Source organism: Homo sapiens, chromosome 4 (genome assembly GCF_000001405.40).
Source record: "Homo sapiens chromosome 4, GRCh38.p14 Primary Assembly".
In the NCBI taxonomy this organism is placed as follows: domain Eukaryota; kingdom Metazoa; phylum Chordata; class Mammalia; order Primates; family Hominidae; genus Homo; species Homo sapiens.
Genome location: NC_000004.12, coordinates 118,093,878 through 118,115,027, shown reverse-complemented (window position 1 = coordinate 118,115,027; position 21,150 = coordinate 118,093,878). Strand labels below are relative to the sequence as shown.

General features: G+C 35.1%; 1 protein-coding gene and 1 long non-coding RNA gene across 14 annotated transcripts in view; one reads left to right on the top strand and one right to left on the bottom strand.

Moving 5' to 3' along the window:
- The window catches only part of NDST3 (N-deacetylase and N-sulfotransferase 3), a 225,313-nt gene that overhangs the window by 143,607 nt on the left and 60,556 nt on the right, over window positions 1-21,150 (bottom strand). For all 12 annotated transcript variants that reach the window (NR_146513.2, NR_146514.2, XM_006714416.4 and 9 more), the window contains 2 exons: window positions 9,923-10,010; window positions 68-222 (listed from right to left, as the gene is read on the bottom strand). Coding sequence is in view for 10 of the 12 variants with exons in the window: in XM_006714416.4 (XP_006714479.1) it covers window positions 68-222; window positions 9,923-10,010 (243 nt within the window). In the remaining 2 variants the exon portion in view is untranslated. The remainder of the gene's footprint in view (window positions 1-67; window positions 223-9,922; window positions 10,011-21,150) is intronic.
- The window catches only part of LOC107986307 (uncharacterized), a 149,690-nt gene that overhangs the window by 89,399 nt on the left and 39,141 nt on the right, over window positions 1-21,150 (top strand). The gene's annotated exons all lie outside the window — the stretch shown is intronic.

Sequence of the window (21,150 nt, the reverse complement as noted above, 5' to 3'; positions counted from 1 at the left end):
ATGTAAGAATCTTTTCATTTCTCCAATCAGTGTACACTACTTCAATGCAACAAAGTGAGTTACTTACTAAGGCAAATTTTTTGTTGAGAATCATCTGCTCCACCAAAGATGACTCATTGTGGAAGAGGTGGGGCTGCATATGGCTCCACATGTGAGGAAACCACCAGAACTCATCCACAGACCCCAACAGACAGTCATCTCCTTCATCTTCCTCTTCAGTTCCTTTAGGGGGGGAAATATTATCCAATTAATTCCAGTTACACTGATCTATGATCAATCAATCTACTTATCTATTTAATCTTTTCTCGTATATGTATTTAGAAGCCATCATTTATTCTGTTTTACGTATAAGGCTTTAAACCCAAATGTATCAAGGAAAATCTGTTAATCAGGAAATAATCAGAGACCATGTAAAACTCTTAAATGTTATTAAACATGAGACATGGATATGAAATCACTGCAAGATGGAAATATATAACCATTCCCAAGGATATTAGAACTCTTAACTTTCAGCATTTTTGTGCAGTTTATAGTCTGGAGAGAATGGGGGATAAGTAGGAAATGTAATTTAGGAAATATGAGCAAGGAATATGTGTCACAGCCTCAGTAGTAGTAGGTCATTGTGACATGGGCTGTGTATACAACAAAATAATTCTTTTATTCGGGTTCCTCCTTAGGTCTGGGAAGAAGTTACTCAGTATTTGGTGAAAACTGACACATAAGAAAGAGAAAAGAAGGAAATGTGGAAATCGTTGTTGAGAAAATTAGGGAAAACTGAAGGATGAAGGTGATGGACAGAAGTTGTGAAGTGGTGAAATCATGGTCACCACTATCAAAACAATCCAAGCTGCTCCTTGGTGGTACACTTGTGTTCCATATGCTTGTCCTTTCTCTCAAGTTGTTGGAAGAAGATTTTGCATCACGAAACTCTTTTTTCCTTAAGGGTCAGCCCTGTTGTTGTTTCTTGGTGGTTTCATACTTGAACTCATTTTATTTCCTCCCATTTTCCTTGGCCTGCAGTTCAGTTGACTGTGGGAAATTTCACTGTTCTTTTACCTTATTTGAAGGGGCTAAGAGTCCTTTTTGTACTTCCCTAGGCATATCTTCTTTACTATAGCATAAAATAAGAGCAGTATAAGGTGCTCACTACTGTCCTGGAATATCATAATACTAGTCATTTCAAAATTATGCAGCCACACTTGAATTTTAGCCACAACATTGAATCCAATAAGCTCCCTGAGTAGTGGGTTCTTCCTATGATGTCCTTTTTGTGTGGAGAAAAATCTCCTCCCATATTTTCAATGGCAGCTCTGATGTGATTTGTTTTATTAGAGCCCTACAGGCTAAAGATGGAGAATGGACTGCTACCCTGGACCAGTCAACTAAACCCAGTTCCTGTTAACATTGTTCATTCAGTTTCCCAAAGAAGGGAGGCAGAGCCTATTGGCAGGAAAAGAATCAGGTCCTGTGATTTGGTGGGCATTGAAAACCTTTACTAGAGATAAAGGCATACTATGAGATTTCATGGTCATTCAAATGTATACAGAAGAAACAAAGATTAAGTGCTGTAGAGTGAGTGGAATAGCATAATCATTCAACAAGGGCAGTCTTCAGTTTCACTTTCGCATGCTTAAGTACTCTACTGATATGAAGGAACTTCCTCTCCACTACGTACAAAGATTACATATTTAAATCTAATGTTTTATTTTCTTTATTTTTTTCTTCTTCATATACACTTATGTTACCATTGTATAGTAGAACAAGTGTAGCCTTTGGAGTCAGAAGGTTTTAGTTTATTTTTAGGTTCCAACATATTTGAGTTGTGTGGCCAAGTCACATGACCTCTTTAATGTCTGTATTCATGTAGGTAAAGAGATGGACAGCAGTACCTATTTTATTTTTGGGGGGAGGTAGTGTATACATAATTCTGGCAATATTGGGTAACTTATAATACCCCTTTCTTTTCCTCCTGTATTTCCTACTTCTGTTCTTCTTGTGTTTCCTTGCATGGCTCCTTGAGTTTTTTTTTCCTCATTATAATACTACATGAAAGGAGAAGGTAGTTTTCACAGGTGCTATGTGGCAGAGGTGACATTATGTTCAAGAACTGACCAAATCATTATATTAACTCATTGGCCTGATTAATGAATGAGTCACCAGCATTCTTGGCGCTTCTGAGTGGTTATCTTATGGCTCAGGGAAGCTTCATAGTGAGAAAGGCAAGAAAAATAGGAAGATGGATTCAGGGGTTTAGAAACTCTGATGATCCCAACCATAGCAGGTTCTTGGGTCCTTCTAAATTCGAGGTGATAAATAAGGTGACCTTTGTAAAGAAGCATTTTGTAGGTGTGACTGGTGATCTTAAACACATGTTTTGCTTGACATAAGAATGATGTCATTTAGTTTCCCTGCATTTAAACATCTCTGCTTCTAACCAAGATACTCCCCTGTTGCTTAACATTTTGTAGTCTCCAGGACACTGTATTAGTGTCAGTTATTTGTTGCCATTTTATTTTCTCACATTGAGAGCAGGCAGAGTCTCTTGGAGTTTCCCAGAAATCAATTCATTCCTGATTTCCACATACCCTGCAATGTCAGTGAGCTGATATTCCCTAGTTTATGAGAAGTCTCCTCTCCCACTGCTTTTAAGCTCTATTCCCTGTTGCCTATAATTCTTATCTTTCCTTGAAGCTTTCCTGTCATCTTCCCTTTATTCATGTTTTTTTAGTTGGCCTCTGCTCAAATATTATTTATCAGAACAGAGCAGCAGATCTCAGGGTTCTTTGAAAAGATAGCTCAGGCATTTGTTGTCCTTTCCTGAATATCATGGTGAAATCTGTGACTAAAATATTCATATATTTGAATCATGCAAGAGTTAGACAAATGATATCTGCCTTCTGACATATTTATCTCAGTTCATATTAGGCACAATTTTATGTCTTCTCTTTATAGATTTGTCTTATCTGATTTCTTTTAATCCTACTTTGAGAATGTTTTACATTAGAATTACATTGAAAACAAATGTCTGTTGCTTATTACTTTAAAAATTATGGGCCGGGCATGGTGGCTCATGCCTGTAATCCCAGCACTTTGGGAGGCTGAGGCGGGCAGATCAAGAGGTCAGGAGATCAAGACCATCCTGGCTAAAAAGATAGCTCAGGCATTTGTTGTCCTTTCCTGAATATCATAGTGAAATCTGTGACTAAAATATTCATATATTTGAATCATGCAAGAGTTAGACAAATGATATCTGCCTTCTGACATATTTATCTCAGTTCAGATGGGATGGTGAAATCCCATCTCTACTAAAAATACAAAAAAAATTTTGCCAGGCATGGTGGCGGGCACCTGTAGTCCCAGCTACTCAGGAGGCTGAGGCAGGAGAATGGCGTTAACCCGGGAGGCAGAGCTTGCAGTGAGCTAAGATGGCGTCGCTACACTCCAGCCTGGGTGACAGAGCGAGACTCCATCTCAAAAAAAAAAAAAAAAAAATCATGATTAAAAATTAGTTGAAGTGTAATTAACTATGGGTTAATTACATTTGGTTGGACTGTCGTGGCCTCTTGCCCACTCTTTGCTTCCCTACTTTGCCCACCTTTGTCAGAACTGGAGGAAGAGAGAAGAACAAGAAGTCAAATTCCTCAATTTTAAGTGCCATTTCCTTTTTCTGGGAAGATGCAGATTGTATGTATTTTATTTTATTTTCAACTTTTATTTTAGATTCGGGGGGACATGCAGGTTTGTTACCTGGGCATATTGCATGATGCTGAGGTTTGGGATATGAAAGATCCTATCACTCAGATAGTGAGCATAGTACACAACAGGTAGTTTTTCAACCTTTACTCTTCTCCTGCCCTCTCTGCCATTAGTCCCCAGTGTCTACTGTTGCCATCTCTATGACTATGAGTACTCGATGTTTAGTTCTCACTTATAAATGAGAACGTGTGGTATTTGGTTTTCTGCTCTTGCATTGATTTACTTAGGATAATGGCCTCCAGCTGCATCCATGTTGCTGCAAAGGACATGATTTCATTCCTTTTTTAATGGCTGTGTAGTATTCCATGGAGTATATGTATCAGATTTTTTTCATCCAATCCACCATTGATGGACACCTAGGTTCATTCCATGTCTTTGCTAGTGTGAATAGTGCTGTAGTGAACATGTGAGTACATGTGTCTTTTTGGTATAATGATTTTCTTTCTTTGGATATATGATAATATCCAATAATGGCATTGCTGGGTTGAATATTAGTTCTGTTTTAAGTTCTTTGAGAAATTTCCAAACTCTTTTCTACAGTGTTAAGTGCCATTTCTTAACTTATCACAAAACTATGCTGAAATCTTATGAAGTTATTGCAAACTATAATTTATTTTTTAATATATTTATTTAAATAACTTCTCTACACTATTTTATCTGTAGTATTTGCTATTCTGATATTATATTTAAAATCATCATTGATTGAGAGTTTATGTTGTGTTGTTATGTCAAGCACTGTGTTGAGTACTTTACAAACATCATTTCACTTAATTCTCAAAACAACCTCATGAGGTGAGTGCTGCTGCTAACTTCATTTTACAGATAAGGGAATTGACATTTGGAGAGGTGAAGTAACTTGTTCCATCTCACTGAGAGGTTTGAGACAGAGCCTGAATTGAAATTCTGAGTTCTAACTCAGATTGAGCAACTCCAAATTCAGGGCCCTTAACTATCATTCACTGGCCAAACGTTGAGTCTAGAAATAAGATCAGCATTTATTCATTCAATATAACATTGCTCTTCTCATTGTTAATTTATTCTATAATATAATTAGAATGTACAGGTACTACTGGATCTCAGTGATTTGGGGAAACATAAAAAGCTAACAAATCTATAAATAAGGAGAATCTTTTGCCATTCAGCTTCCCTAGTCAAGGATGAGTTAAGACTATTTTTTGACACTTCACAAGCTATGTGACCTTGGGCCCCTTTAAGTTTCTATGTTCTTATCTAGAAAACAAGTTAACACGTTCTTTAACTTCTAGGATTCAGTGAAAAAGTACATGAAAAGTGTTTAACAAAGCACTAAAAGGGAACTATGATTTTTATGTTTTACCCCTTTATTTCTCACATAAATGCACATACCCTTCAAAAATTAAAATAAATCAAACAAGATAAAGCTCTCTTCTGACATAAAGTATTACTGTTATGACAATGCCACTTTTCTTTTTCCCTTCAAGACTGAGTAAAATGGATAGAATTTTTTTATAGAAAAAGGAATAGCAATTTCTTCATTTAGAAAGGAAGACAATATAATTCAATTACTTTTTATCCCATCTAATTTTTGAAAGATCAAATATTAAATTTTGTATCTTTTCCCTCTAAAAAATGATTTAACTGGTCTTAGACAACCCTGGCTAAGTTTTGTGGAAACTCTCATATTATACACAGCTAACAAGACCCTTTCAAACCTTGGCCTCTGTTTCCATCTGTGTTGTACTTTCTCTCACTTAGGGAGAGGATACTCTTATTATGAGCTGTGGGAAGTGCCCAAGTAAAGAAAGAGGACAAACCTTGCAGAGATGAGAAGGAATGACATGAATTGGCTAGCATCATTCCCCAGTATTCAACGATGGGCAAAAAAATAATGGAGTTGCCAGGAGTGTTTTCTTGTATTTCTTGAGCATATCTGGGCTGTCCTGGTTTTGCTGTGATGTCTCTTCCTACTCTCTCCCTCTCCCCCTAAACACACCACATATTTCACCCTAATTTTGCCATGGTGGTTTTTCATCCATATGATAATTTTCCTTTATTCAATGGATGTCAAAGAATCTAAGATAATCATCCTGAAGTTAGGATATCCTAACTCAGAAGTTTAGGAAGAGGTTGTGGGCAGTCTTCTGTTTCCTTAAGCTCTTGGAGCTCTCCATTGTGAAAGTTAGTTATGCTATGAGTCTAACTTCACTAGAAAGATGAACTAAACCTCTGCACATAAAGAGAAAGTTCTCACTTCACATATCTATTGCCAAGGTAGAAGAACTTTCCTGTAAGCAAAAGATTTAAAATAGATATCTAATTATGTTTTTATTTTTGAGGTTACAATAAGAACCAACTCAATGAATCATAAAACAAAGTCAAACATAATCATGAGGTTCCCAGTTGTTAATATTTAAAATAATCACAGAAAATGTGTATTTTATATATTGATCTAAGAAATTCAGAGGAATAAAAGCTTCCACGCTTCTTATGTTAAAGTTATTCTTAAATCCTACACAATTTTCAAATTGGTAGGTGAAAGTTATATGTAGTTGTATGATTATACATATTGTATTCATTACACAATTTTACAATAGGAAAATACTATAGTCAAGTCTCATGGCTCTCTAACTTCCATGGAAACAAATGGAAATTGACTTACTCTAGAAATACAGTATGCTTCTATCTAAAAATAAAATTACTATTTATGTTGTTTATGTGCATATGGAGATTATATTGATGTTAGTAGTATATAGATAGAATTCTCAGCATGATATGTTTATTAAACCCTTGAAGGTACTCATCAAATACATACAAAGTAACTCTTGCTCATATTATCAAATGAAAAATTTGAAAAGCATTTGCAATTGTAGAAAACTGATAAACTTGCTTAAATATGATATCACTTTAAAAAATTACTTATGTGTTTATTCATTTAGATCTAACACACATATATGTTATAAAATGCAAAGGCTCAGAAAAAATTTAGTAAAAAGTAACTCTTCTTTTCATCTCTCTTGTTTGATTCTCAAATTCTCTTCTTCACTGAGATGGTTTGGCTCTGTGTCCCCACCCAAATCTCACCCTGAGTTGTAATAATCCCCATGTGTCAAGGCTGGGGCTGGTTGGAGATAATTGAATCATGGGGGAGGTTCCCCCATACTGTTCTCATGATAGTGAATGAGAAGTCTCACGAGATTTTATGGTTTTATAAATGGAAGTTACCCTGCATTAAGTTACGAAGCCCTCTTGCCTGCTGCCATGTAAGACACCCCTTTGCTCTTCCTTCATCTTCCGCCATGATTGTGAGGCCTCCCCAGCCATGTGGAACTGTGAGTCCTTTAAACCTCTTTTCTTTATAAATTACCCAGTCTCAGGTATATGTTTATTAGCAGCATGAAAACTAATACATTCATAGTTACCCATTACTATCAGTTTATTATGAATTCTCCCACAGATATCCTATACTTGTATTAATAGCCCTTTATATAAAAAATACTTAATTTTAGCGTCATTCAGTTTATCATTTTTTTCTTTAATGGTCAGCCTTTTCTATCTTATTTAAGACATCTTGCATGGCACAAGTTACTTAACTACTTGGTAACTGAGTTTTCTAAGCTACAAGAGTTCTATACATAGAGTTGTACAGATTTCACCTCCTCTTTTATTTTTATACAAATGGGAACATATTCTAATCACTGTACTATACCTTGACTTTTGTATAGCTTTTATCTTCTTTATTTTTATACAAATGGGAGCATGTTCTAATCACTGTACTGTACACTGATTTTTCAGTGTATCTTGAGAGCTTTTTCTATATGGTTTATATTTAAAATTATCTCTTTTTAATGACTGCAGAGTATTCCATTATATGAGTATACCAATACATGTAATCAGTTTTTTTAACTTCTAAAAATACAGAGTAATGCTTTCAATCATGAAATTGTGTTCATCTATCCTGAGGCAAGTCAAAATATCTTTACTCATTTTAATTATGATTGTGAAAAAACTTTTTAATTATTCTCAATATTTAGAGTGATTTCTTTTCACATTTAATAGGGAAATTCAGAATGAGAGTCCACAGTTACATGGCCATATAATTTATGATAATAATGACACTATGAAGCAGTGGGAAAGGATGGTCTTTTCAATACTGGGTGCTAATTAGATGATGATGATGATGATTATTATTATTATTATTATTTTGAGATGGAGTCTCGCTCTGTAGCCCAGGCTGGAGTGCAGTGGCGCAATCTCGGCTCACTGCAAGCTCCGCCTGCTGGGTTCACGCCATTCTCCTGCCTCAGCCTCCCTAGTAGCTGGGACTACAGGGGCCTGCCACGATGCCTGGCTAATGTTTTGTATTTTTAGTAGAGACAGGTTTTCACTGTGTTAGCCAGGATGATCTCGATCTCCTGACCTCGCGATCCACCCGCCTCGGCCTCCCAAAGTGCTGGGATTACAGGCATGAGCCACCACACCCAGCCAATTAGATTTTTTTTTAAGAGACAGATTCTTGCTCTGTTGCTTAGACTGGAGCGCAGTGGCATGAACATAGTTTACTGCAGCCTAGACCTCCTGAGCTCAAGTTATCCTCCCATCTAAGTCTCCTGAGTAGCTGGGACTACAGGCACATGTCACCATGTCTGGCTAACCAATTAGATATTTTTATGAAAAAAAGACCCCTATCTGATATATGCACAAAAATCAATTCCAGATGTATCACAGATTTATACATTGCCAGCCTAGGCAACATAGTGAGACCCCTTCTCTACAAGAAAAATTTGCCAGTCATGGTGGCATGGGCCTGTAGTCCCAGCTACTCAAAAGGCTGAGGTGGGAGGATTTCTTAAGCCTAGGAGGTTGAGGCTGCAGTGAGTTGTGTTTGCACCACTGCACTCTATCCTGGGCAACAGAGCAAGATCCTGTCTCAAAAAGAAAAAAAATTCATGTTCTTGTAGTATGCAAAGATTTCTTAAATAAGATAGAAAAGAATGACCATTAAAGAAAAAAATGATAAATTGAACGGCCTAAAATTAAGTATTTTTGTTCATTAAAAACGCCATAAGGAAAATTAAGAGACAGCCAGACAGCAGGAGAAAGTACTTGGAACACATGGAACTGTAAACTTCAAGGAAAGAATTTCTACAAATCATTAAGTAAAAGCAGAAAACCCAGATACTCCTCAAGAGAGGATATCCAAATAGCCAGCCAACATACGAACAAAGATCATTTACTGCTCTTCAGAGAAATGTACATTAAAACCCTAATATGATATCTCTACATGTTCACCAGAAAAGCTAAAATTAAAAAGACAAACAATATCAAATACTGGCAAGCATACAGAGCAACAGGAACACTCATACTGTTGGGAATATAAACAGGTACAACCATTTTGAAAAACTGACATTTTCTACTAAAATTAATTATAAGTGTGCCACATAACTAGCAATTCCATTCCTAGTTGATGATTAACAGAAAAGAATACTCAAGTCCTCTGAAGGACAGGTATAAAAATGTTCGTAACAGGAAGTTATGAACATTTCTATTCAGAAAAACTCAAAGTCTGGAAACACCCAACCATCTACAGCTTAATGGAATAGACAAGTAAATTTTGTATGTTCAGACAATGGAATACTGTACAGCAAGGAAAAGGAAAGAATTATAACCTATAGACAGTAATATTTCTGAAACAAAAATAACATTGTACAAAATGAGCTGGATACAGATGAATCTTTACTGTATGATTCCTTTTACATACCACTCAAAGCCAAGCAAAACTAATTCATGATATTAGAAGTCAGAATACTACTCTTCTTTGAGAGAAGTTAGTTATTGTGAGGGGCACAAGAAGTGGAGATTTTGGAAGTGTTCTCTTTCTTGATCTGCCTGTTCTTTACACAGCTGTGTACACGTTGAAAATTCACTGAATATCACATTTACTATTTATGTACTTCTATATATGTAAATTATAATTCAATAAAAATGAAAGGCCATCAGATAGTTCCATAAACTTTCAAACCATTAATATTTTACAAAAATTAAAAAATAGCATGTTAAATAGAATTGAATGATAAAATGCTGGGGAGGAACATAGGGAATGTAGGACAGTGTGGGCAGGAAAAGTGTGCAATTTTAAATAGAGTGATCAGAGAAGCCTTAATGAGAACAGTTAATCCCTTTTTCTTACCTGTATGGTAAAATTTCCCTGAAAATCCCAGGTTGAATGTAAAATTTGTGATTTGTGCACGCAAAAGATTCTGAGTATCAAGCAGGGCCTGAAATACATAATTTAAAAAATGTATCAGGTAAAGAATGGCATTAAAAAGTTTCCAAAAGATATATCCTTTTTGCATTCAGAGGATAAAACCAGTTCCTTATACATGTGAGAATTAAATGGTGGAAAATAGTTTCTTTATCACTTTAAAACTAGAGAGATACTTTTGAGTTTACATGAAACACATACATTTATTTATCCTTTAGCTTGCAATAAATCAGCAAAAAGTGTCAGTTGGAAAAAGGAAGTTAAATGAAAAGAGTTTATTCTGTAGGTATCAAAAGAACTACGATCTAGTACATAAAATATATCCAATTTACCCTTCAGGCATATAGATCACCAATTGCCAAAAGAAGGGCACTCATTTTTAGTGAAGCTATGCAAGAACGTATGTTGAAAGAAACAGATTATTTCTCAGACAAGTCTTTGGTTTTCAAAATCAAAATCTGAGATTCCCAAAAGATAATGATTGTTGTTCAAAATGAGATATCATAGTAAAGTAGATCTCTAATTTGCCCTTTCATTAAAAAACAGACTAATAAAATATCCTACTTCTGATAAGTAAAGCTATTTTGAATCAGAGTTTTAATTGTTATATCCTATAAAATATTTACCATGCTGAGTATTTAATGTACTTTTCTTTCTTCTTTTTTCTTTCTCAATCTTTAAGTCTGATTCTTATACTCCCTCTCTCTGTCTCCTTCTCTGTCTCTGTCTCTCTCTCACATACACATACACACACACGGTAGTTGAGTGTTCACTTCAACTAGGCAGAAAGTAATGCTGTTAGATTTGTAAATGATCTTTCATAGATGAAATTAGTGGTATCCTAGCTTACGGATATAGATCCAAATTAGGCATTCCTTCTACTCTATCACACCTTATCTTCTTTCTCCCTTTCCTTAATACAGTTGGGCCCACAACTAAATCTTATTTTCTTAATTATAAAGCTGACATCTGGAAGGTCTGCCTCATCATGTTTATGGTCCCAACTTTTTTGGATCATAAGCAGATAGAGTTTTTTATTCATTGACTACCCCATGATTGTATGCTTTATCTGAATGCAAGAGATTCTTCCTGATTTTAAAAGCAGAGGTAGAGAACTTCTGGGTTCAAATTTAGACTCATCTAGCCAATGGTAAGTTTTTGAAATTTAGCTATCTAATTCTTTTGGTATCACTACTCTCTTAACATAAGCAAGCTTTTTGGTGTGCACAGCTGAACCATGTAATATGTGCGTCCTGATGACACTCAGAAATAGAAGACAGGCCTGTTGGTGGATCTCTACACCTAACTATGGGAGCAAAAGAATGAACTGACAGCAATGTCATCAGGGACAGGTTAGGTCCTTACAAGGTGGGGCACGGTTTGGATGGGGGAGGAGGAATCCAGCCAGCTGGACATGATGAAGTTACAAATGGGACTTCTAGGTCAGATGCTGGACCCTGGTGTGGGGAAGGATATACCTAGGTGTAAGATATATAGTATACATATACAAGTGTCTGTATATTTGTACTGCTGACAATTATAATACACACACATTTTGTGTATAAATATATATATATAATGCTGACAATTATAATATCTTCCCTTTCTTTCTTCTCCCCTTCTTCCTCTCTCAATTCTGTTGTTCCCCAGTTGAACATTCTAGCCCACCCTTCCTATCTTTCCTTCCACTTAGATCATATCTTTCTTCTTTTTCCATTTTACTCACTTCATTTCAGTCTCTTATTTTTCTTCTTTCAGTGGTTAAAATATAGATTCGAAATCTATTTGAACATATTTTTTTTGTGTTCAGTGCTTTAAGTCTTACAATTTGGTAAAATGAACCTTCTTTTTGCCTTTCTTTTTGTTCAAACTTAATTGGAATTCGAACTTTGCTTTGTGATCCTTGATTGCATTTTTAATGTACATTTACAAAACTTGATAAGAAAAACTATATATAAGAAACCTGTCTTCTTCTTAGGCCTTAGAAGCTAAATAAAGTTCCTGCGAACTAACCTCTTAGTCAACTAGAATACAATGATTTAAGTTACTAAATTAGCCCTGAATTTGCAGATTTGAATTTCCATTTTACCTATTTATTTGATATTCTAGAAATAAACACTAAACACATAAAAGATACATTGAAACAGATGGCAGATACTAATTATGCCTATATATGGTAAAGAGGGGAAAATTATTTCTAGATGATATTTTATATACTTAAGATAAACAGTGATATTTGTCATCTTTTATGTTGTTTTTGTAAACCAGATTTTGCAGATGTTTATGAGAACATTATTATACATTCATCCATTATTCCCACCTTTTAAAAATATATTTGTTACTGGCCTAACCCTTGTAAAAAGCTTAAGTACCCAGCAATATTCTTAGGTCATATCCTTTTCACTAAACCCTTCATTACTAGAATGATTTTATTCAGCATTATTCTATTTTAAACTGAAGTAGTCTACTCATTACTATGAACAAAATATAAAAATGATATAAAATTATACTTTATTCTGTATATGCAACATGTCTAAAATGGTGTGATCATATCTAAAATTCTAATTATAATAAATTAAGTCAGTGCTCCACGACCACAGACAGAAAACCACATGTATTCTGGGCAAGCAAAACCCATCTGATAGAGTACTGTGGTCATGGAGGAGGTAAGGAATCACGATTGTCTGAAGAGGCACAATTTAGTGGTCTCCTCAAATGCCAATCCAGGAACCCTAAGAACATAGATGTCTACCTTCAAAAGTGGCTTGATTATTGAAAAATGGGACTTTTGTTTTTAGTTTTTCCAAAATACTGTACTATATATAGGAAGGTAATTTACAATTCCATGTATCAATTATTATTTTTAAAATAACATTTTTTCTAATTAAAAATAATTAAAATCACTAATAAAGTATTATGATGTGTTTTCTTTCCATTTTTTCTCAATAAATAAACATATATAATAATATTTGCAGGCATATAGTTATATAGGTAAATTAGTGCCATAAAATAAAAATTAAAGCTATACCAATCAGGATTAAAAATACAGAGTTTTGAATTTTCATTTGACAGTATATCATGGGCTTTCTCCTATCACATTAATCTTCCAAAACCAAATTTTGTAATGAATGCAGAATATTGCATCAAATGAGTATACTATAATTTATTTACCCATTTTATCCTATTGTTGTACATTTAAGTTGTTTACTTTTTTGACTAATATAAATACTGCTCTGTGTATCAACACATACTTATGTAGTTATGAATCTCATAATGATGTTTCAGTCAACAATGTAGCATGTATATTTTGGTGGTCCTAGGTGTGTAGTAGGGTATACCATCTAGGTTTGTGTAAGTATACTCTGTGATGTTTACACAACAACAAAATTGGCTAACAACACATTTTTTAGAACACACCTCCATCATTAAGCCACTCATGGCTACAGCAATGAAGCAACCATTTCTGCAGCAGAAAATAATTGTTTATGCTTTAGCAAACAAAACAGTTGAAAATGCTAATCAGAGTGTTAGAAGGGAACATAGTGTGCAACTTAATTATATGATAATTGCATTTCAAATACAATTTAACACAAAAATTTCAAAATTATCTTTCCAAATTTTAATCTGTATGCTACCCCACTAACTTAGTTTTTTTTTTTTTTCAAGTCTTCATTCTGTAAAGCTAAGAAAGTTTGCAGGCATTAAAATATCTAGTTGAAGACAAAAAAGAACTAATTTAAAGAATCTGAGTTCTGAGAACTGAGCAAAATGATAGCCTTTGAATTTTCTCTAACTTTTGTTAGCAGAATAAATCAAATAGATGAAGAGGCAGAAATTGAAATTAAAAGTAATTGCAAAGAAGTTTTACATGAAGATTTATGTTAGTGTTGATGACACGTGTGGCATTCTTGGTGGAATGTCTTGATAATTTTTTTGTTTCTTATTTATGCTTCTTAGATTATATTTTGGCCTATTTTAGCAGATAAAAATATTTTTGTTTGAGCACAGTACTTTTAGAGTTAATATTTTATAGTCAATCATATACTATTTAGAAATATAAATGTCTATATTTGCTAGAGTAAATGAAATCAATTAAGCAGCAAATGATAAGCTCCTATGCCTATGTGTCTATCTACACACACGCGTGTACACGCACTCATACCTCCTCCAGGCATCAGATATACTTAGTATACTAGAGATTATTATTCCCATTTCAGAAGTGGTAGACATGATTTACATAGTTTAAGTGGCTTTCCCTTGGTCACAAAGCTATTTAAGAGCTAAAGAGGTGACTTAACAAGGATTTTGGATTTCAAAGCTCACTGCTTCTGTTGTCCATGGAAACAACAAGAATACAACATGAACCCTCTTATCACTGGCATACAGAACTGTGGTGACATAATCTTCCAGAAACGAAGACAAGGATGCTCTTTTTTCCACTTTCAATATTTAACTGTCACTTTTAGTTTTCAAAGCCTAAAGGTATGAGGGGAATGGGAAGACTAGATTGGTCAGTGAATAGTCAGCTATATTATTTAGGATTTTCCAGAGACAGGACGATAGGAAATAGATATGGATATAGATATAGGAGGCCATTTATTACAGGATTTGGCTCATGTGGTTGTGGAGGCAAGCTGGAGAACTAAGAAAGCTGGTGATATAATTCAGTTTGCATCTGAAGGCCTGAGAAATTGGTGGTGGTGGTGGGTGATGGTATAAGTGGCAGTTTGAAAGCCTGAAGCCAGGAGCGCCTATGTCTGAGGCAGATAAAGATGGATGCCTCAGCTCAAGCAGAGAGAGTGAATTTGCCCTTCCTCCACCTCTTAGTTCTATTCAATCCCTCAGTAAATTGGATGATGCCCCCTACATTGGGGAGGGCCATCTGCTTTACTTAGCTCACCAATTCAAAAGCTTATCTCTTCCAGAAACACTCCCACGGACACACCTCAAATCATGTTGTAGCAGCTATATGGGCATCCCTTAGCTTAGTTACGTTCACACATAAGATGAGCCACCACACCAGCCAAACTAGTAATGTTTACCCACTGGCATCCAGATTAAAGAACACTTACTCACTGTACAATCTGCAGAGTTGGACTGCAGGACACTGGAGCACCATGAAGTGCTCCAATGACCACCTTAGTCTCTCTCTGACCAGGTTTAGAACTGGAAAGACTATACAAGACTTGTGCTTAGACAAGAAAAACATTGAAATATGCTGAAAACAGTTAATTAGGTTAATATTAGAGTAGGGCCTCAGGAACAATTAGAGGAAAGATACCCTTAGAGGAAAATAAATAATAAGGCCAGGATCAACTTTACTATTTGACCTACCTACACAATTGACATTCAGCAGGGAAATAAGAAAGAATGCAGGAAAGATAGGTAAGCTAGTGGGAAGCATAATACCCAGTCAGTTTTTGCAACAGTATTTAAACTCCCTTGACAAGAAATCTATAGACATAGCACTGCATTATCTAACTTAATTAACACTCCTAATGGCAAAACAATCACTCAGCTCTCAGTTGCCCATATTCTAAATGTGAAGTCTACATATAAAAATGTAGAAACTGTATTTGTCCTGCCAGATTAAAATAGTCTTAAAGACCAAAGGCTGGACTGTGTTTTCTATGAGCTTTCACCTAGGAATTTGCTAAGTACAGTGAGGAGTCTTAGAGATTATCTTCGCTCTTGTTAAATTGCCTTAGGCCAAGGCCACCATCTGCTGAATGCCCAGTTCTTGTGCTTGGCCTCACCAACATACATGACCATGGCAGAACAGCAGCAGATTGAAATCCGAGTGACTTAGGACTCTGGCTCTGCTACTTGATTACTATGCAGTAATAATACGAGGCTTGGACAAGTTACTGAACCTTTCCAAATCACAGTTCCCCCTTGGAAAACAAGAATAACAATATGTAACTCCCAGGTTTTGTATGAAGATCAAATGAGAAATGGATATATGGTCTTAAATCCTTTCCTAATACACAGAAGTTGAGTTTTAGCTTTGTGAATGAAATCCTTTGTAATTCTGCCAACTTTAAAAGGTCCTTATTGTCCTGTCAGAAAATTCCATGTTCCATTACTTTCTGTTACTCACATGAAAACATCAGGCATATGCCTAAAATTTTAAACTATATTTTTAAATTGAGCCGTAACACTTTTGGAGTTAATCAGCACTAAACAGGAAGATAATCCAAGTAGCTGTATTATAGTAACTTCACAGGGCTTTATATCCTTCATATAAACCCTTCTTGGTATTTTTTCTAAATGACATTAGTGAATTTTCATTCTTCACCTGAATGCTTATGTATTTTATTGTTTCTATTGTAATAACAGAGTAAGGACAAAGGTTTGTGTGAAAGCAGAGAAAAGAGTTATAGAGCAATCTTGAGTTACTTCTGTTACATACTTTAACTGGTCTTGAGCATACATTATATATAACCTCTAAATTACAGCGGTGAAGAATGATTTTCCCAGAGGAGTTCTTGAGCTGAAATTGGCAAATAATGACAGGTTAGTGGGGAAAAGAGAAAACTATTAAGTAAGTGCTACCATCACGAAGTATTCACTTGAAATTGTTATGCATATGCTATTTAGCTTATGGTTGACATGCTTAGTCAAAATACTAATGTACTTTTTAAAAGAAAATAAGTGTTAAAAATAGTTCATTATTTTTTGCTATATAGTATCTCTAGGAAACTATTAGTTAAATCTCATTCATTCAATTGTGCAGAAAAGGGATGTTTATATATTACTATAAACATAATTTTAATACCTTAATTTAAAATACTTGCTTTTAACAGGAAAGCAGAAAAGGAAGCAGAGCTGTAAGATTTCACATGAGGGGACTGAGGTGTCTCAATCCACTTACTGTTATTGCAGAACAAATAGATTTCCTTTTAGTTGCAGAGGTATGAAACTCCTTAAGTAGCGCATCTGTTCTGCTCAAGACATGAAAATGCTAAATACTTAAAAAAAACCACAGTAATTAAATGTTCAGCAACCCACCCCCTTCCAAAAAAAGGTTTGTGTTATGTGTTAAAAACAAAATGTGAGATTAAAGCTGGACTATAAACTCCATGAGCAATGTCTATCCTATTCACTGCTGCATTCCCAAAACCCAGCGTGATGTCAAGAACAGAAGGGAAAGTAAGTATTTATTGAATGGGAACATGAATGAATTTTGATTGATCTAGTAAGGCAATAAACTCATAAAGATTTGAAAATGGCCATTGTAGAACACTTATTTACTACTTTATTTTCATAAACTGTTTTGAATCTTGGTGAAGAATTTCAACATAATTCAAATTGGAAAAAGTAATTAGAAAACATTTGATTTCAAATTATTTTGAAAATTGCTAAAATAAAAGCATTTCCTATCAGTGCTTCTCAAACTTCTATGTACATAAAGATTATCTGGGAAACTTAACAAAATGTAGACTTCCGGGTCCTAACCCAGAGATTCAGAACAATCATTCTGAGCAAAGGCAACATACCCTGGGTGATTTTGATATAGGGGACATTATACCACACTGTTAAGAATCACTGTTCTATTCCTTGATTTCAAATAGTTCAAGGTAGTTTCTAATTTATTTATTTATGAGTTGTTTTTCCTTTTGAGTATGAAATCTTTAGTGTTCACTTCTTGGTACAGTTACTGGTACACAGTAAGGAAATAATTCAGCTAATCAATGATTTCATAAGCCTCATAATTAACAGATACTGTGGATTCTCCAATAAGAAATACTCTAGACAACATGGGTTATATAAGGGCCATCTGAATTCAGTTGAGGTCCTAAAAATTGTGCTGGCTCAAAAGTACTCTGTGAGGGTTAACATTACATGAGAACTTGAATGAGCTATGGGGTGCCCAGATAATTGGTCAAACATTATTATGGGTGTGTCTGTGAGGATGTTTTGGATGAGACTAACATTCAATTAGTAGACTGAGTAAAGCAGATTGCCTTCTCTAAAGATGGTGGCCCTCATCCAATCACATGAAGTCTTAAGTAGAACAAAAAGACTGACTATTTTGCAAGTAAGAGGGAGCTCCTTCTGCCTGACTGCCTTGAGCTGGAACATTGATCTTTTCCTATCTTTAGATTTAAACTGAAACATTGACTCTTGAGTATCGAACCTGTCAGATTTTAGACTGGAATGCACACTACCAGTTCTCCTGGTTCTCAGATTTTCAAACCTGGACAGGAACTACACACTTAGCTCTGCTGGATCTCCAGCTTGCTGCCTGCATATCTTGAGACTTCTCAGCCTCCATAACCTCATAAGCCAATTCCTTATAATACATCTGCCTAACTGTCTATCTATCTATCTATCTATCTATCTATCTATCTATCTATCTATCTATCTACTCTAGCCATAATGGAGTATGTATTGGGGTTCTCTAGTGAAACAGAATCAATAGAAGATTATCTGTCTATCCGTCTATCTTTTATATATATCATGACTAGGGTAGTTTGGGTTAGAAATTATGCAACAGAATTTTAGCTTCTAAAGTTTAGCTTTATATTTTTATTAATTTTATTTTTCTTAGTTTTTCTAATTAAAGTCCATTTCAGCTGGTTTGGGAGAACCAACTAATCAGGTTATCAGTTTTGGCAAAGTATGATAACTCAGTATAAACAGCTCCAATCTAGGGAAGATAAGGTATGAGGAAGCAAGAGCTTGCAGAGAACAGACAAGCCCTGATTTAATGATGGTTCAAGTAAAGATTTTTCAGCTTTATGATGGTGTAAAAGTGACATGCATTCAATACATGAGAATATAATCCCAGTGTATTTCAAGGAGCATCTGTATATAGAGGTAGTTTAAGAATCAGAGTGCTGTGGGACTGTAATGTGGTTCAGCCCCTTTGGAAAACATTTTGGTGACTACTCAAAAAGTTAAACATAGAATTACCATATGATCTAGCAATTCTTCTTCTAGGTATGTACCACAAGAACAAAACACAGTGTTCAGACAAATACTTCTACATACATGTTCATGGTTGTACTATTCACGATAGCTAAAAAGTAGAAACAATTGAAATGTCCATCTGTGGATGAATGGAGAAACAAATTTGCCTATGTACATACAATGAAATATTATTCAACTATGAAAACAAATTATGTACTGATACATGTTATAACATAGATGAACTTCAAAAACATTATGCTAAGTGAAAGAAGCCAGACATATATGGCCACATATTGTATGCTTCTATTTACAAGAAATATCTAGAGTATGTACAGCCATAGATAGAGAGAGTAGATTGGTGGTTGCCAGTGTAGGGAAAATTGGGTGCAACTGATTAATGAGGATGGGTTCCTTTTGGGGTGATGAAAATGTTTTGGATTAGACAGAGGTTGTAGTGGCACAATACTGTGAATATGCTGAATGCTACTGAATTGTTTACTTTAAAATAGTTAATTTTACATAAGTGAATTTCACCTGCATCAACAACCACAAAAAAAAAAACAGAATGTACAACTGTGAGTACTGTTGTCTCCATATTTTCTCCTGAATTTTATTAATATGGTATCATGCAAGTTACCCTACCAAAATTATTTGCAATACATGTCCTATGCTCTTTACACTGACTTTAAGAAAACTGTCCAGAAGTAGCACCAAGTCAAACACACAATGAACTGTTGGGAAGTAGTGACAACTGATGTTCAAAAATCCTTACATTACTTGGTCCTTGCCTTAGGCCTTATATTGTATCATTTCCTTTCCTACTCACTATGCTCTAGACATACTTGCCTTTATGCTACTCCTAGAACATATCAAGTTTGTTCACACCTCAAGGTTTTAGTCTTTCTGTTTCCTCTTAAGGATATGCTCTCCCCAAATACTCATGTGGTTTACTTCCTTACTCTTTCAGGTCTCCACTTACACATAACCTCTTTGGTGAGGCTTTCCTTGACCACTCTTTTTTCTTTTTTTTAAAATTTCACCCAGCTCTGTTAAGGTATAATTGACAAATAAAAATTGCATGTATTTATAGTGTACAAGGTGATGTTTTAATAAATGTACTTGTGAAATGGTGAAATTAAGCTAATTAACATGTCCATCACTTCACATGCTTATATATTTTTTGTGACCACCCTCTTTTAAATAAATGCTCAGCCTATCACGCTATACCTGGATTCTCTGCTTTATTTTTTCATAGAATTTATCGCTATTACTATTGGTGTACCTTTATTTATAGCCATCTATTTAGCTCTTACCCTTAGAGCTATTCATTTAGCTAACAGAATAAAGGTAACCTCTGCCTCTACAATGCTAAATCTGCAGTGCCCAGAGCAGTGCTTGGCATGTAGTAGGCTCCCAATAGAGTCTTGCTGAAAGAATGAAAGAATAAATTAATTACTGGTAATGCCAAAAAATTCTTAGTCAGAAGAGGAAAGAATAATATTTGACTGAAAATTTGTATAGGGTAACTAAAGGGTAAATAGAGATAATGACTTCTATGGAAAGGACACATTAAGTGTACCCCAAAACAAGGGGCACATTTACAATCATGTTGCACCAAGTGGGTAGATAATCAATATTGGTTGGGAACCCTTGCTTCAGTGAGGAAAAAGAAGGGCTCAGACAAACCTGTAAGCTGTGGCTACTTCTGGTAAATGAGATCAGTTTGGTGTGATGAATAACCTCTTAATGTGGCTTTAGATTATACCATAGATTATAAGTTTGATGGGATGAAATGCGTTATAATTTTCTTTGGATGCAAGTTGGGGGAAAGGCACAATTGTATACTGTGCCTAACAACTTTAATCCACTAGAATTACATTGCAGATGCAAAAATAAGCAAAATGCCTATGAGATCAGAACAGCTGTTAGGAAGCAAGTAGTAAAGTTAGTGAATTTTGCTATGGTCTGAATGTGTTCCCCACAATACATATGTTGAAACTTAATTGCCAGTGTGGTAGTATTAAGAAGTGAGGCCTTCAGGAGGTGATTAAATCATGACAGTGGAGCTCTCATGATTGGGATCAATGACCTTATAAAAAGGCTTGAGGAAGTGGGCTTGCTTCTTCCCATCCCTTCTGCCATGTGAAAATACAGTGTTTGTCCCCTCTGGAGGATGCAGCAACAAGGTTCCATTTTGGAAGCAGAGACACTTAACCCTTACTAGACACTGAACCTGC